The sequence below is a fragment of the Homo sapiens genome, chromosome 18, assembly GCF_000001405.40.
Source record: "Homo sapiens chromosome 18, GRCh38.p14 Primary Assembly".
Classification (NCBI taxonomy): Eukaryota; Metazoa; Chordata; class Mammalia; order Primates; family Hominidae; genus Homo; species Homo sapiens.
This window is the reverse complement of record NC_000018.10, coordinates 3403655-3422385: the sequence shown is the minus strand read 5'-3', so window position 1 is coordinate 3422385 and position 18731 is coordinate 3403655. Positions and strand designations below refer to the sequence as shown.

The window sequence follows — 18731 nt, the reverse complement described above, 5'->3', positions numbered from 1 at the left end:
TGTACAGCTCTATGAAAATGTATTCGTTCTTCATGTCCATATTCTATAAGCTTTTTCTATCAAATTTTTTTTTTTTTTTTTTTTTTTTTACTTTTTAAACTTTTTGTTAAAAACTGAAACACAAACACACACATTAGCCTAGGCCTACACAGGGTCAGGATCATCAACATCACTGTCTTTTTTTTTTTTTTTTTTACGGTGTCTCACTCTGTCGCCCAGGCTGGAGTGCAGTGGCGCCATCTCTGCTCACTGCAATCTCCGCCTCCCAGGTTCAAGCGATTCTCCTGCCTCAGCCTCCTGAGTAGCTAGGATTACAGGTGACCACCTCCACGCCCAATTAATTTTTGTATTTTTAGTAGAGACGGGGTTTCACCATGTTGGCCAGGCTAGTCTCGAACTCCTGACCTCAAGTGATCTGCTCACCTCAGCCTCGCAAAGTGCTGGGATTACAGGCGTGAGCCACTGTGCCCGGCCAATATCCCTGTCTTTCACCTGTATATCTTTCCCACTGAGAGGTCTTTGGGGCAATAACACTTATGGAGTGTTCAGCTTCCATGGTAACAATGCCGTCTTTTGCAATACCTCCTGAAGGACCTGCCTGAGGTTGCTTTACAGTTAATTTTTTTATTAAACAGAAAGAGTACACTCTAAAATAACAATTAAAAATATAGTATAGATGGGCGCGGTGGCTCACGCCTGTAATCCCAACACTTTAGGCGGCCGAGATGGGTGGATCACCTGAGGTCGGGAGTTCGAGATCAGCCTGGCCAGTATGGAGAAACCCTGTCTCTACTAAAAATACAAAATTAGCTGGGTTTGGTGGTGCATGCCTGTAATCCCAGCTACTCAGGAGGCTGAGGCAGGAGAATCACCTGAACCTGGGAGGTGGAAGTTGCGGTGAGCCAAGATCAAGCCATTGCACTCCAGCTTGGGGCAACAAGATGCAAACTCCATCTCAAATATGTGTGTATATATATATTTTATATACTATATATATATAAATGTATATATATAGTATAGTAAGACGCAAACTCCATCTCAAATATATATATATTTTATATACTATATATAAATGTATATATATAGTATAGTAAGACGCAAACTCCATCTCAAATATATATATATTTTATATACTATATATAAATGTATATATATAGTATAGTAAACTCATAAACAGGTAACTTGGTCATTTATTATCAAGTGCTAGTACCATCAAATACAGTAGATTTGTTTACACCAGCATCAGCATCACCACAAACATGTGAATAATGTGTTGCACCACAAAGTTAGGACAGCTTTGACGTCACAAGGCAACAGGAATTTTTCAGCTCCCTTATAATCTTATGGGACCACCATCATATACGTAGTCTGTCTTTGACCAAAATGTTATGAGGTACATGACTGTATATAATTTCTCCTCACATCCCATTGATTAGAACCAAGTCACACTGTCAAACTCCTCCTGTGAGGAAATGTATTCCATTCTAGTCTGCTTTCTAACTGGCTAATTCTTGCTTTGGTTCATCAGTCTTACAGAACTTGGCTAAAAGCAGCAAAAAGCAGTCAAAATACATAAATATTGATATTTCTTAAACACCCCTCCTAGAACTAAGGGCTAAGGGCCTGACATGTGAACTGTCTTCCAAGATATTGCAGGAGATAATTTGTCTGAAATTAACATAGCTACCATAGCTTTCTTTTGATTAGTGTTAGTGTGGCATCTCTGTATTCATCCTTTTACTTTTCACCTGTGCCTGCATATTTAAAGTGAGTTTCTTGTAAACAACGTATAGTTGGGTGATGTTATTTTATCCACTCTGATAGTCTCTGTCTTTTAATTAATGTATTTAGATCATTCACATTTAAAGTGATCATTGATATAGTTGGATTAACATGTACCTTAATTGTAGTTTATTTTATTTCATTGCTCTTATTCTTTGTTTCCTTTTTGTTTTCCACTCTTTTTCTTTCTTGTTTGGTTTTATTAATATTATTTTTTTTTTGAGAGGGAGTCTCACTCTGTTGCCCAGGCTGGAGTGCAGTGGCGCGATCTTGGCTCACTGCAAACTCCACCTCCTGGATTCAAGTGATTCTTCTGCCTCAGCCTCCTCTGAGTAGCTGGGATGACAGGCACCCACCATCAAGCATGACTAATTTTTGTATGTTTAGTAGAGATAGGGTTTCATCATGTTGGCCAGGATGGTCTCAAACTCTGCCTGACCTCAAGTGATCCACCCACCTTGTCCTCCCAAAGTGCTTTAATTATAGGCTTGAGCCACCATGCCTGGCCACTTGTTTGATTTTAATTGAGCATTTACATGATTACAAACCCGTGTTTAAATCAGGTTATTTTCCTTTTTTCTTTTTCCTTTTTTTTTTTGAGACGGAGTCTTGCCCCGTTACCCAGGTTGGAGTGCAATGGCACGATCTCAGTTCAGTGCAACCTCTGCCTCCCGGGTTCAAGTGATTCTCCTGCCTCAGCCTCCTGAGTAGCTGGGATTACAGGCAGGCACCACCATGCCCAGCTAATTTTTGTATTTTTAGTAGAGGAGGGGTTTTGCTATGTTGGCCAGGCTGGTCTTGAACACCTGACCTCAGGTGATCCACTCGCCTTGGCCTCCCACAGTGCTGGGATTACAGGCGTGAGCCACCGTGCCCAGCCTGCTTTTTTCTTGTTGAGTTGGAGACTAATTTTTATATGGAGCATATAGAATCAGATACACACCAAGGGTAGTCCAGTGATGGAAATTAGAAGTCATTATGTGGATTATTAGTTTTGTACATTTTATCTATCAATAAAGAAGATCAACAAAAAGAAGATCAACATAAAAAAGACTGCTTCAAAAGAAAGGATAGAAAAAACCAACTAACCAACCAACTAACCAACAAACACACAAAAATAAAAAGCATTCTCCTGACCTAATACAAGCGTGGTGTCTTCTATATGTGGTGTATGGTTTGCAGTTCTGGTTGCTGAAGGTCAAGGAAAAGATAATTATTCTCAATAAGGTCCAGAAATCTGTCGAATGGGGGACCAACTAAAGCAGGGGTCATAATCTGGTTGCCATTTTCATCTATATTTCCCTACAGAAAGTTAAGTTTTTATGTGGAATGAATTTTGTCATTTAATCTAACTTTGTTTTTTCCAAATGGTTTTCCAATTCTCTCAACATTATTGAGTTTATTTTCCTCCATCTTAACTTATATGCTTTAATCTTATATGAATTCCAGTGTATTTATGGTTGTCCTAATCTTTTTATTTATTCCTGTGCCAGAATCACAGTATTATAACTATTGTACATTTTTATTTATTTTTAAATTTTTTTTGAGATGGAGTTTTGCTCTTGTCACCCAAGCTGGAGTGTAATGGCACGATCTCGGCTCAATGCAACCTTGGCCTCCCAGGTTCAAGAGATTCTCCTGCCTCAGCCTCCTGAGTAGATGGGATTACAGGCACCTGCCATCACGCCCATCTAATTGTTGTATTTTTAGTAGAGATGGTTTTTCACCATGTTGGCCAGGCTGGTCTCAAACTCCTGACCTCAGGTGATCCGCCCACCTTGGCGTCCCAAAGTACTGGGATTACAGGCGTGAGCCACCACGCCCAGCCTAGATTTTTAATATCTAAATAAGAGTCCAATGAGTCCATCTCTCACTATTCCTACTCATCTTTAGTAATAATCCTTTCCCCCTAAATTTTAGCTGAATACACACACACACACACAGTTGGCCCTGGGTTTCCATGGGTTCTGTATGTGCAGATTCAACCAACTGTGGATAGAAAATGTAGTTAGGCCTACTATAGTTGCATCTGTACTGAATAATACAGTATAACAACTATTTATATAGCATTCACATTGTATTAGATATTATAAGTAATCTAAAGATGATTACAAGTATGCAGGTGGGTATGCACAGGTTATATGCAAATACTATGCCATTTTATATAATGAACTTGAGCATTTGCACATTTTAATTTCTGAGGTAGCATCCTGGAACCAATCCCCCATGGATACCAAGGGACAACTGTACATGGCTGACAGCTGGAGACTATAGATCGCAGCCTGCCTTCTTGACTGATGTGGTCACATGACTAGGTTCAAGCCAATGGTGAGTGAAAATGAAGTGTGCAACTTCCAGGTCATCCCCCTTAAAGAAATATCTACTTACCTTGGACTTTCCCTTGGGCTGGAATGTGGAAGTGGAGGTTAGCCAGCTTCTACCACGTGGAAAAGACACCAACCTAGATAACAGCAGCACAAAATCAGGACCCCTGAGTAACTTTGTGGAGTACAGCTTCATTGTAACACTGGGCCCTTCACCGATAGACAATTTGGGGAGAGGAAAAAAAAAAACCAACTTCGATCATATGTAAGCCCTATATTTTTTGTATCTCTGCTTTTAGCTTAACTAACAAAAAGCTGTTAAGAATAACTCCCCACTTTTTTTTGTAGAGATGGGGTCTTGCTATGTTGCCCAGGCTGGTCTTGAACTCCTGGGCTCAAGGGATCTTCCTACCTTGGTCTCCCAAAGTGCTAGGGTTACAGGCATGAGCCACTGCACCCGGCCAGAATAACCGTTTTACTATTCCAAAAGTGATATATGTCAATTGTAGAAAATTCAGAAAACAGTGAACAGAAAGAAGAAATATAACATATTTCTTAATAATTCCATTTTTAAGAAATGAATATTTGGAAATATCTATTTTTGTTTTGTGTGATCTCAATGATAGATATATACACGAATAGGTAGCTAAATTTACAATAACAGTTATATAGACAAAAATAGATATAGTTATATAAATACAAATGGGATTATACTTTACATGTTGAGTTGTGATATACTTTTTTAATCTAACAGTGTATCATGAACGTTTCCATGTAATGAAATATTTCTCTGGATGTAGTAGAATTTATTTAACAAACAGGGTAGGCACGGTGGCTCATGCCTGTAATCCCAGCACTTTGGGAGGCTGAGGCAGGTGGATGACCTGAGGTCAGGAGTTTGAGATCAGCCTGCCCAACATGGTGAAACCCCATCTCTACTAAAAATACAAAAATTAGCCGGACGCGGTGGCTCATGCCTGTAGTCCCAGCTACTCGGGAGGCTGAGGCTGGAGAATAGCTTGAACCTGGGAAGTGGAGGTTGCAGTGAGCTAAGATTGCACCACTGCACTCCAGACCAGGCCACAGCATGAGACTCCATCTCAAAACAAACAAACAACGAACAACAACAACAACAAAAAACAAATAAAACCTTGCTGGACGTCTAGAGTGCTACAAAATTTTAACCACTATAAATAGTATTTAAATAAACATCTTTATAAAAATATATTTTTGCTTATCCATAATGATTTACTTATGATAAATTCCGAGTGAGATTTCTTTTTTTAAAAAGAGTATCAAATTTTATTTGATTTTATTATAAATCTTTTTTTTGTTGTTGTTGTTGTTTTGATACAAAGTCTTGCTTTGTTACCCAGGCTGGAGTGCAATGGGATGATCTTGGCTCACTGTAGCGTCCGCTTCCTGGGTTCAAGCGATTCTCCTGCCTCAGCCTCCTGAGTAGTTGGATTACAGGGGTGCGCCAACACGCCCGGCTAATTTTTGTATTTTTAGTAGAGATGGGGATTCACCATGTTGGCCAGGCTGGTCTTGAACTCCTGACCTCAGGTTATCTGCCCCCTCTTGGCCTCCCAAAGTGCTGGGATTACAGGTGTGAGCCACCCAGCCCGGCCTTATTATAAATCTCGCTTTTCTTAAAAATTACAAACATGAGAATAAACTAAACACACCCCAGACTCACTAGCCCTTGCAGGACAGGAAGAGGCCCTAGACAGAGAGCCTGCAAATGCTTTTCTTTGTTTTTTTGAGACAGAATCTTGCTCTGTGGCCCAGGCTGGAGTGCAGTGGCGTGATCTCGGCTCACTGCAACCTCTGCCTCCTGGGTTCAAGTGATTCTCCTGCCTCAGCCTCTGTAGCTGGGATTACAGGCGCGTGCCATAACACCCTGCTGATTTTTGTATTTTTAGCTGAGATGGAGTTTCATCATGTTGTCCAGCTGGTCTCAAACTCCTGACCTCAGGCAATCCACCTACCTTGGCCTCCCAAAGTGCTGGGATCACAGGCATGAGCCACTGTGCCCAGCTGCAAATGTTTTTCTTTATACCTAACGTCCAAGCTTCCTCACACATTTTAGGGTTCCATGTTTTGTTACCTCTTACAAGGGAAAGGAAACTGGCTAGAAGATTCATGTACAAGAAGGTCATAACAACTTTCTAGATATCTGATGCTAGTGGTTTCTACATTCCAGTTTGCAACTCTGAGAAACAATATCAAATAAGCACCATCAAATACCTACTCCCAGCCACCCTTTATATTGTTATTGTTCTTTGAAATTATCTTTGGGACTGGTTACTTTCTCTCAAACTGTAGCTTTGGTATATTCCAGAGCACAAACTCTAAAGTCCACACAGAGACTCCACGTTCAAGTATAAAAGTCTGTTTTAGGACAATCCCAAGTTACTATAGTGTTTCTTTATCTCTCTGTAGTGTCTACCGGGTGTTGTATCCTTGGACAGGCTGACCAAATGGCAGCACAATGCAGGGGACAAATTGGTCAACATCCCCACTGCCAAACTTGCCCCCCATTCAAACTTGGACACTGCCCACAGTCAAGGCCGAAATCTTGAAATCAGTGAGACCTTGGCCTATCTTCATTCTGAAGTTGCACTCTTATGTAACCAAAGTCACTTCTTCACCGATAATTAAATAGAGCTTTCAAAAGGCGTTGGGCATGTTCCTGAGAACCGCCCTAGGCTGGAGCTGGAGGGTCCTGGTCTGCGGGCTCTAAAGGGGGTGCTGGCACCATTGCTGTCTTCTGGGCACCCAGGAACTCATGACTTGCTCCTTCCGTTGGTGGCCTGAGGATGTGGTTTAATTTTGGATCCTCTGCCTGAGAAATAACCCTGTCTACTCCAGCTTCCAATGTCCCTGACTGAATCTCACTCTGCCTCTGACCATTTCGCAATAGGCTTTTGCGCATCATAAGATTCCAGTTCTGCTCATCCAGGTGTGTGGACACCGAACCCTCAGCTTTCTGCCTCTGGTTTTGGTAAGCTGGCTTGGTGTCCACAGGGGCCAGGCAGCATCGACAGAAGCTGCCAAACGGGCCTGGCTCTTGAGCCACTCCAGGATGAGAGCAATGAGCTCCGGGTCGCCGGAAGGCAGAGCCGGGATCATGGTGCCTGCGTTGCCTCTGTCTCAGCCATTGAGGGAGACCAAATATGGCTTCTTCTCCAGGACAGAGGTGGTGACAGGGGTGGAGGAGAAGGAGGCCAATAAGTAAGATTTCTGAGTCAAGGAATATGCAAAATTTTTTACATGCATTGTCAAATTGCCCTTTAGAAAGAATTTAGAAGTGTAGTGTAGAAAAGTATCACTTTCTCCTTGATCTTTCTGACATTGGACATTGGGTCTTTCAATATTTTTATTTTTTAGAGACATGGGGAGGAGAGGTCTCTTTACTTTTCCCAGGCTGGCCTTGAACTCCTGGTTCAAGTGATCCTCTGATCTCAGCCTCAGAGTAGCTTGGACTACAGCTGTGCACCACCATGCTGGCATAGAATATTATGGGGTTTTGATGAAAAAAAATTCTTGAAATTCCTTATTTTCTGTTTTCAAAGATATTTGAAAGGAATGTTGAGAGAGACTTCATCTGTTGGTAAAAGGAAACTGGACTTAAATAGGATGGGGTTCTGAGGTCTAGAGAGGACACAGATGGGTCACCTCTTTAAGTTCACTGGGTAGAGCCAAGGGACCGTTACTAGAAGTATGTCATAAGAAAGTACAAGATTAGATTCACGGTAAACAGGATCACCAACCCAACTGGGGCTAGACTTAGAGATGAACTCTGGCTACAAAGCCAGAAAACTGAAGGGAGGTGGTGGAGAAGGTTTGAAACATGTGGATCATGCTAGAGTGGCCTGGAACATGCTATAATAAGGTGCAGTAGCTCTTGAATTAGTTGTGTAAATGAGAATATCAATTCTAGACTCAGACTGCCTGGGTTCACAGTAAGTGTTAGGGATTATTGTGATCATTATTTCCATTGACTGCAGCATCATATACTCATATCCACTGAATGGAAAAGGGTTTAGAAGTATTTAAGTGAGAATAATTACTTAACATTGTAATATAATTATGACCAGTTCAGTAAAGTGTAGAACAAAAATTGGACACACAGCCTTGGGAAGAGGAGACAAAACTGTCATTTTGTATAAATGATACGATTGTGTATCTAGAAAACCTAAGAGAATTAATTAGTGCTTAGTAATGAACTCTGTGACCTTAGGCAAATTATGTCATCTCACTGGGTTTGTTTTTTCATCTACACATTAGGATAATAACTATAATTAATTTATAGGATTATTGTGAAGATTTGCTGAGAAAATACATTTAAAACCCACGACATAGTGCCTGCCATTTGGCAACTGCTCAATACTTTAAGATACAACTGTACTTTTTGTATCACTCTTGTTATTTTTATTACGGCAGCCATAGAATGAATTTGTAAAAATAATTCCCTTGACGATATATCTTCTATAAACAGTTAAAACCATGAAGGAGAGAAAAGTCTCATTTGTAATCAGAAAAAAATTTTTTTTTAATTGAAAAAATTATAGAGACGAGGTCTCCCTGTGTTGCCCACGCTGGTCTTGAACTCCCGAGTTCAAGTGATCCTCCCGCCTTGGCATCCCAAAGTGCTAGGATTACAGGCGTTGGCCACCGTCCAGGCCAAAAAAAAACCTTATAAAATTCTCAAGAATAATCTTTATAAAGAATACTAGACTCTATGAAGAGAACTCCAAAATCTACTCAGAGAAAAATAACAACTCGAATAAGCAAAGGAAACTATCATTTTCCTGAAAGTTTCAATATTATAAAGATGTCAGGTTTAATAAAATTCGAATCAAATCTCAACCTGATTTTGGGGTGAGAAACTTTAATGATTCTAAATAAATCTCTCTGGATTAATGAGTGGCAAATGAGATAATGGTAGTTAGCAAACTTTATTGTACAAGGGCAGGGCCAAGAAGAATAAAAATATTCATAAGCCATGTTCCCATCCTTTAACATAAAAACAGTTCCGTGAATTTAATTTTTTAAAAATCCTCATTCTTTTTTACTCTATTAAATAAAAGAATGCTAGCGAGACAATGAGCATTTCTTTGTAGACATTACACTATTAATAATCCGGATGTATTTGAGATTTACATATATTTTATCCCCAGCATTTCTGAATTCACCAAGGGACATTCAATATATTATCTCATACCTGGAAGAGCCTTGTGAGGTTTTTGGTGTTTGGGGACAGAGCCTCGTTTTGTCGCCCAGGCTGGAGTGCAGTGACGCCATCACAGCTCACTGCAGTCTTGAACTCCTGAGCTCAAGAGATCCTCCTGTCTCAGCCTCCCAAGTAGATAGGACTACAGGCGTGTGACGCCACACTCGGCTAATATTTTATTTTCTTATTTTTTGTAGAGACAGGGTCTCCCTGTGTTGCCCTGGCTAGGTAAGTCTGTTTTATCATCAGCTCTAACGAGAAGGGGAAAAACCGACTCAGGCTAGGAAACTTGACAAGGGCAAAGAATGAGTCAACGGCAAAGGCCGGAATGCAGTCATGCCACTCGATATAAGGAACCACAGCCTGTGCCAGGTCCTGGGGGCCCACTTAATCTTAAATGCAGTCTTTCACTTCATACAACACACAGGAGATAGGATGCAGCAAGTTAGAAAAATTACTCATACCACCTCCCAGATGTGCAAAGAATTTAGAGTGCATTTTCCCTATGCGTGCTCGTTTAGAAGCGCACCTGCTCCTCTTCACCTCCCAGGTAGCAGGGGAAAGGCTAGATTTAATCTTGTTACAATATTTCCATTTCTTCTCATTGATACAGGCTTGTTTCAGTGTAAACATGTGGTCCATTTGAAGTTCAGCTTCCCACTAGTGCTAATGAAAATAATGAAAATCTTTACCTGGTTGAGTAAATGTTTTCAGGTAAAATACTCTATCTCTCAAATTTAGTCTCCTCTTCCTCTTCCTTGACCTGGTAGAAGGGGCAGGACTTACCTGGGTTTCTCGATGAGGAGCTCCTGCGGTAAGGAGGGAGCCCCGCGCAGCACCGAGCATGCGCAGGCCTCGGGATCGCGGCGGGGCCGGAACCGCGGCGGGGCTGGAACCGCAGGCTCGAGTCTCTGGCTCCCTGCGGCCCTCGGCGAAGGCTGGGCTCTTCCGTCAGGCCTGGCCTTTGCCCCGCTGAGGCAAATCACTGTTGTCCTGGAGGTGTCTTTCCCCCTTGTAACAGATGTGTTTTTGAAAGATTCCCGACCAGGCTTCCTTAAGATAAGCTGGTCTGTGTTTCCTGAACCCTTCCCACCCCGAGATGCGGGCGGGAGTCACTCCCGGAAGGAGGAGCGTAGGACAGATGCTCTTCCAGGCTGGAAGAGGGCAGGCAACTCCCGCCCCTGCTGCTGGGGTCACTGCAGGTAGCCAAAAAGAGCGGGGGAACGGGATGGATGGTCAGATGTTCCCAATGTCTGTTTTTGGGCTGAGATGAGGTCATGCAGCGTGGCTGGGGCGGAGTAGGATGGTCTTGGTCCCCAGCAAGTGTCACCAGGCTCAGAAGCTCCTGCAGGTCTTTTGGATGGAGGAAGACACAGAGGTGGCTGACTTGAGGACCAGGGGCCTTTTGGGTCCCCAGAGGGCAAGAGCGAGAGGGCTTGACAGCAGGAGCTTGTGTGGCTCCAACGGGGGAGAGTTTTGGTGGGGGTTGTGGCATAGGCTCAGAGGGAGTGACTTTACTGAAGACAGCCCACTGGGCACTGACCAAGCCACGAATGATCCCAGCAGCAAATTTCACCCCCCAACAGCAGCAGAGCAAACAGTAATCAGGCAGGCATGGGGCATTGCCTCTGAGACCAGAGGAGGCCTGAGACAACATACCACTCAGGAACCCTTTTATCCTACAGGCATCACAAGGATATAGTAAGTCCTGCCCTTTCTACCAGGTCAAGGAAGAGGAAGAGGAGACTAAATTTGAGAGATAGAGTATTTTACCTGAAAACATTTACTCAACCAGGTAAAGATTTTCATTAGCACTAGTGGGAAGTTGAACTTCAAATGGACCAAATGTTTACACTGAAACAAGCCTGTATCAATGAGAAGAAATGGAAATATTGTAACAAGATTAAATCTAGCCTTTCCCCTGCTACCTGGGAGGTGAAGAGGAGCAGATGTGCTTCTAAATGAGCACGCATAGGGAAAATGCACTCTAAATTCTTTGCACATCTGGGAGGTGGTATGAGTAATTTTTCTAACTTGCTGCATCCTATCTCCTGTGTGTTGTATGAAGTGAAAGACTGCATTTAAGATTAAGTGGGCTGGCCAGGCACGGAGGCTCACACCTGTAATCCCAGCAATTTGGGAGGCCGAGGTGGGCAGATCACTTGAGGTCAGGAGTTCCAGACCAGACTGGCCAACATGGCAAAACCCCATCTCTACTAAAAATACAGAAAAAAAACAAAATTAGCTGGGCATGGTGGCGGACACCTGTAATCCCAGCTACTCAGGAGGCTGACACATGAGAGTTGCTTGAACCTAGGAGGTGGAGGTTGCAGGGAGCCGAGATCGTGCCACTGCACTCCAGCCTGGGCAACAGAGTGAGCCTCTGTCTCAAAAAAAAAAAAAAAAAAAAAATGAGCTACTCTGATTCAAGTGAGGTAAGATCCAGGGTCCGGACCAATCCCTGGGACATTTCAATGAAAGTATCTTTGTAGCACACCAAAGCGCCACCGGAAATGATCTGAAAGCTATTACCTTACATGTCACTCCACTCCCAAACCACTTCAACCTCCCCCATTTCCACCCATAATTACTTGGTGTTGAAAGCAGAGAGTCTGACATCAGCTTTTGGGTACAGAGTAAATCACAAACAGGACAGTATGGTAGGAGGAAACATACCAGCTAAATGTAAAGACATAGACATGGTTTAACTGATCTTCTTACAACATACTAACTACTATTACTGTTTGAACAAGTGCTTTGGGGCCAATGATTGTTGAAATATTATGACTTTCCATGTTGTGAACATTCAGCCTCCTGGTCAGAACTGAGAGGCTAATGAGGAGGATTCTCCAGGTGAAAACATCCATTACCCATTAAGGCTGTGTGTTGGACATCTGAACGAGAGAGCAGGGTGGTCGAGAGGAAATTCTACAAGAGGTGACAGCAGCAAGCCTGCCAACAGACTGCTCTGAGCGGTTCCCATTCACCCGGTACAGCTGTCTAAAGGATTATGCCAATGAGGAGAGGGCCTTTTGTCAGAGACCCTGTCCCATCCGACCATTTGTAAAGCTGCCTCATGAGACAGGGCTGGCGGAGGCTCTGCAAACATTCTGGTGACCCCCTCCTGGACAAAGCAGACCTTCACAAAGAGACTCTCAGAGCGGGAGGACTCTGTCCCACCTTGTGTATAGCCCCTCTGAAAGCATAATTTTTCAATGGTTCATTATAAGCATATATGCCCTAGGTTAAAAAAAAATTAAATAGTACAGAAGGATTTATAATGAAAATCAATAGCTCTCCTCTCACAGTCCCCATCCCAAAGGGAAAATTCTTTTTAACTAGTTGAATCGTCTCTGTTTTTATTCTTATGGTGATTGCCTCATATCCTTAAACAATATGCTAACGCAGGTATTATTTTGCTTTGGTTTTGGTTTTTGTGAGACAGGGTCTTGCTCTATCACCCAGGCTGGAGTGAAGTGGCACCATCTTGGCTCACTGCAGCCTCGGCCTCCCTGGCTCAAACAATCTTCCCACCTCAGCCTCCTGAGTAGCTGGGACTACAGCTGCATGCCTCCATGCCCGGCTAATTTTTGTATTTTTTTGTAGAGATCAGGTTTCATCATGTTGCCCAGGCTGGTCTCAAACTCCTGAGCTCGAGTGATCCACCTGCTTTGGCCTCCCAGAATGCTGGGATTACAGGCATGAGTCACCGTGCCTGGCAGTTGTTTCTTGATACAGTATTTTATAGCTTTGTTTGTTTTGTTTTGTTTTTAGAGACAGGATCTTATTCTGTCACGCAGGCTAGAGTGCACAATCAGAGCTCACTGTGACTTTGAGATTCTTGAGCTCAATCCATCTTCCCACCTAAGCCTGATGAGAGGTTACAAGCGTCCATCATCACGCCTGGTTAATTTAAAAAATAATAATAATTTTTTTGGCTGGGCCCGGTGGCTCACGCCTGTAATCCCAGCACTTTGGGAGGCTGAGGTGGGCGGATAACCTGAGGTCAGGAGTTCGAGACCAACTTGGCCAACATGGTGAAACCCCATCTCTACTGAAAAAAATACAAAAAAATTAGCCAGGCCTGGTGACGCATGCCTGTAATCCCAGCTACCTGGGAGGCTGAGGCAGTAGAATTGCTTGAACCCGGGAGGGGGAGGTTGCCGTGAGCTGATACTGTGCCACTACACTCCAGCCTGGGCGACAGAGTAAGACTCCATCTCAAAATAATTAATTCATTAATTTTTTTTTTGGTAGAAATGGTGGTCTCATTATGTTGCCTCCAGGCCTCAAACCTCCCACAGCCTTGGGATTAGAGGCATGCACCACCTTGTTTGGCCTTAATATAGTATTTTCGGGAACTATCTATTGACTTTCTTTTTATGCAAAATGAAGATTTAATGCACATTTACCCAGCCCCTTCTAATAATAGAATTATGTTCTTATTTTGAATTCCTCTTTCCTTGCATTTATGATTTTAAATTAGCACCTTCATTTCTCATGATGTCGCCTATTGACTTTATCTCTTCCCATTTTCTTACATCTCTTCTCTTTTTAAGTTTCTTTTTTCTTTTCTTTTATTTATTTATTTTGAGACAGGGTCTCACTTTGTTTCAAACAAAACAAACAAAACAAAAAACAGGTTGCTGGGATCCATTCACAGACATTCCAATTCAGTAGGTCTGGGGCAAGACCCAAGAATGTACATTTCCAACAAGTTCCTGGGTGATGCTGGTGCTCTCAGTATGGTAATCATACTTTGAGAACCATTGGTCTAAGGGAAGCATGGCCACTGCAGTAATCGGGATATTGCTTTGGCTACTTTAGGAAGTTTCTGGGTTTTTTTGTTGTTTTGTTTTGTTTCGTTTTGTTTTTTGAGACAGAGTTTCACTCTGTTGCCTAGGTTGGAGTGCAGTGGCGCAATCTTGGCTCACTGCAACCTCCGCCTCCTGGATTCAAGCAATTCTCATGCCTCAGCCTCCCAAGTAGCTGGGATTACAGGTGCCTGCCACCATACCTGGCTAATTTTTGTATTTTTAGTAGAGACAGGATTTCACCATGTTGGCCAGGCTGGTCTCGAACTCCCGACCTCAGGTGATCCACCCGCCTTGGCCTCCCAAATTGATGGGATTACAGACATAAGCCACAGCACCCGCCACTACTTTATTTATTTATTTGTTTATTTATGAGACAGAGTCTCACTGTGTCACCTAAGATGGAGTGCAATGGCACAATCTTGGCTCACTGCAACCTTTATCTCTCAGGTTCAAGCGATTCTCATGTCTCAGCTTCTTGAGAGCTGGGATTACAGGCGCCTGTCACCACACCTGGCTAATTTTTGTATTTTTAGTAGAGATGGGGTTTCACCATGTTGACCAGGCTGGTCTCAAACTCCTGACCTCAAGTGATCTGCCTGCTTCAGCCTCCCAAAGTGCTGAGATTACAGGCATGAGCCCACGCCTGGCCCCTGCCACTACTTTAATAGTCACCAAAATAAATAGAGTGGACCTCTCTGTCAGATAGAATTCCTAGCTAGCCTACAGTGTAAGAGGATAGAGAGGCTGAGCATCAAGAAAATGTCCTGGGTCCCCAGGCTCCTTCTACCCATGGCTCTGTCATCTCCTTGGGAGCTGCCCTCATCTTCATGTTTGAAGCTGACCTACTACCACCAAATCTTCATATTAGCCAGAATGGAGGAATTGAGCCAGTGGAGAGCACACAACTTCTTTTAAAGAAAAATTTACAAATTGCCCACATCATTTCCACTCATATCCTATTGGCCAGAACGTAGTAACATGACCACACCTAGGTGCAAGGGAGGATGGGAAAAGTTGCTTCTAGCTTGGTGATTACGTGTGGAGATACAATTCAGAGAAGTTCTATCATAGAAAGGAAGGAGGGGGAGATGGATATTGAGGGGCAATTAACAATCCCTGCTGCAGTGGTTCCATTTTCTTTTCCAGTAGTTGTTCAGATGTGCACAGGATACAATTTTAGCCAATGAGATGGGAGAAAATGCCTACTAGGGGCTTCTGGAAAGTTTTCCTTTCTCTAAGGGAGATAGAGTATTTTTCTTGGGATTCTGCCATGTTGGATATGAACCCTAAAAGAGCATGTACATCTTGTCACCGTGAGGGGAGCCTGCCTTTGGATGAGTGAAGATGGCAGAAAGAAAGATGTAGCCTTTTGGCCGGAATCGCCATCTTCCAGTAATTTGTCAAAATGACAAACACAAAAGGAAAGAGGAGAGGCACCCGATATATGTTCTCTGGGCCTTTTAGAAAACATGGAGTTGTTCCTTTGGCCACGTATATGCAAATCTATAAGAAAGGTGACATTGTAGACATCAAGGGAATGGGTACTGTCCAAAAAGGAATGCCCCACAAGTGTTACCTTGGCAAAACTGGAAGAGTCTACAATGTTCCCCAGCATGCTGTTGGCATTGCATAAACAAACAAGGGCAAGATTCTTGCCAAAAGAATTAATGTGCGTATTGAGCATATTAAGCACTCTAAGAGCTGAGATAGCTTCCTGAGACGCGTGAAGGAAAATGGTCAGAAAAATAAAGAAGCCAAAGAGAAAGGCACCTGGGTTCAACTGAAGCCCCAGCCTGCTCCACCCAGAGAAGCACACTGTGTGAGAACCAATGGGAAGCAGCCTGAGCTGCTGGAACCTATTCCCCATGAATTCATGGCATCATAGGTGTTAAAAAGATAAAAGATCTCTGGACTGTCAAAAGAAAAAGAAAAAGAAAAAACAAAAGAGAAATGTAAAGAACCTATGCACTTGAAGAATCAGATACTGAATTAACCAGTCAACTGAAGCTTCCCTGCCTATGAAGCTCTTGTTATGTCAGATAGTAAATGTCTTATTTTTAAGCGTTTTGGGTTTGGTTTTCCTGCTGCTTGCAGTCAAATTATCCTAATAAGGTGGCTTTCTACTTGTTCTCCTATCTTTCTTTTTATTTGTGTATTGTTGGTATCTTTCTATTATTACAAAATCTCAAAGTTAGTGTAAGATTTTGAAAAATACTCAACTCTCTTTTTTCCTCAAGATAACTTCCTCCTAAGGCCTTTGTTGCTTGCTGCCTTGATCTGCTACACAGCTATCACCCAGGGACTTCCCTTAATTACTTACCTCATTTGAAACCACTGTTTCCTGGATCCTCGTGTCTTTTCCTTGCTTTACTCTTTTGTATTGTTGAGGCACATTGCCAATTAATTTGCAAAGAAAAGATAATGCGGGAAGTGAATTTTCTGAGCCCGTGCACATTGGGTCCTGCAGGCAGATTGGCTTCCTTCACAGATATGGTCTCTCCATGCATCCTTCTGGCTGAAATTCCCTTTATAGAGGAAGCAAAATTTTTATCTCTACCCTTTTAGGGTTTTTTGGCTGAGCCTGATACTTAAATTGACATAAGCTATAGCAGTGGAAGAAAAGCATGCACATTTATTTAATGCAAGTTTTACATGGCATGGGAGCCTTCAAAAAGGAATGGAGACTCAAGGAGGCAGTTAGAGATAAACACAGAGATACTGAAGTAGACAACGCAAAGTAAATTGTGAAAATGTGACAAGGCAAAGGAGCTTGAGCTAGGGTGGTTCATTGGACAGAGAAGTGGCTGGGAGGATAAGGATTAGTCTAACATGGTTTGTTGGTACAGATTTTCCTTGGCCTCAACTTCTTGTCCTTGATGATGATAAGAGTGATATTTTCCTTCCGGTACAGGGAGAACATTTGTCACACAGGAATTTAATCATCTGCTTTTAATAAGCAGTAGGAAGGTCAGAGTGATCTTGTTCTTGCTGTTTTTTTCAAGACCCTTAACTCAAAATAGTCTATTTGCCAGAGTGGCATATTTATTTATTTATTTATATTTTTTGAGATGGAGTCTCACTCTGTCGCCCAGGCTGGAGTGCAGTGGTGTGATCTCAGCTCACTGCAACCTCTGCCTCCCGGGTTCAAGCGATTCTCCTGCCTCAGCCTCCAGAGTAGCTGGGATTACAGGCATGCGCCACCATGCCCAGCTAATTTTGTATTTTTAGTAGAGACGGGGTTTTGTCCATGTTGGTCAGGCTGGTCTTGAACTCCCAACCTCAGGTGATCCACCTGCCTCTGCCTCCCAAAGTGCTGGGATTACAGGTGTGAGCCACTGTGCCCAGCCTGAGTGGCATATTTTGAGTTCCTTTACCTCCACTGTGTTTCTCTAGTTATCACTTCCTGCTCTGTCTTCTAGAAGTTTATTGAAAGATTTAGATCACTGATGATGATCGGTGATCATCATTAGATCTTTCTTTTCTCTTAATTGACCTTTGCCCTTAGATTCTGCCTCTTTTAATTTCTTTTTTCTTTTTTTTTTTTTGAGACGGAATCTCGCTCTGTTGCCCAGGCTGGAGTGCAGTGGTGCGATCTTGGCTCATTGCAAGCTCCGCCTCCTGGGTTCATGCCATTCTCCTGCCTCAGCCTCCCGAGTAGCTGGGACTACAGGCACCCACCACCACGCCCAGCTAATTTTATTTTGTATTTTTAGTAGAGACAGGGTTTCACCGTGTTAGCCAGGATGGTCTCGATCTCCTGACCTCGTGATCCACCCGCCTAGGCCTCCCAAAGTGCTGGGATTACAGGCATGAGCCACCATGCCCAGCCTAATTTCTTTACTATTATTTTAATGGGATCTCAGAAGGATGATCACATAAATAATATGTCATTCCCCCATACTGAATGACAAATTTTATCCCTTTCTAGTGAGACTAATACATAATTCAGACTTTTAAACTGAGTCATTAGGTTGGATAATTCACATTACAGTACTCTTGGAAAGACTATCATTTTACTATTTCTAAAAATATATATTTTTAGCATATAATTAAAGGGATAAACTTTTTATAGGGAGTTTTCATCCACCACATCTCTTGTGTGGGACACTTCCTTTCCAGAGTGTTCTTTAAACCAGGGGACTAGAGTTTCTTTGACTGAACAGAACTGTAGAGCACATAAATAAAATGGTTGTCTATTTCCCATTAACTATGAATAATTCATTTTTTTATCATTACTGACAAAAATGTTACTGAACATCCAGGTCACTAGAAGTTCAGATTTATAGATACTATTTTTTTTTTAATTATTGAAAAGAAAAAAAAGCTTTTAATTTCCTTGACCACATAAAATAATATTAACGGACTACTTAAATGAGCTCATATATACAGGTTGTAAATTAGTATTTTTTGAGAAACTATGTGTCCCATAACTTTCATATATTCACCAATCACCAATTGATGCCTTCAACAATCTTTTTTTTTTTTTTTTTTTTTTTTGAGATGGAGTCTTGCTATGTTGCTCAGGTTGGTCTCTAACTCATGGGCTCAAATTATCCTCCTGCCTCAGCC

The 18731-nt window shown here is 42.4% G+C and overlaps 1 protein-coding gene and 2 pseudogenes across 2 annotated transcripts in view; 1 reads left to right on the top strand and 2 right to left on the bottom strand.

The window, feature by feature from the left end:
• Positions 1 to 10377, bottom strand: part of TGIF1 (TGFB induced factor homeobox 1) — a 47970-nt gene extending 37593 nt beyond the window's left edge. The window contains exons 1-2 of one of the 2 annotated variants that reach the window (NM_174886.3): positions 10132 to 10377; positions 4171 to 4243 (exon numbers count right to left, since the gene is read on the bottom strand). The gene's annotated coding sequence lies outside the window, so the exon portion shown is untranslated. Of the gene's footprint in view, positions 1 to 4170; positions 4244 to 9336; positions 9533 to 10131 lie in introns of those variants that run through there. The other variant, NM_001278686.3, reaches the window with a different exon arrangement.
• On the bottom strand, positions 6123 to 7262 carry BOD1P1 (biorientation of chromosomes in cell division 1 pseudogene 1; annotated as a pseudogene).
• Positions 15528 to 16076, top strand: RPL21P127 (ribosomal protein L21 pseudogene 127; annotated as a pseudogene).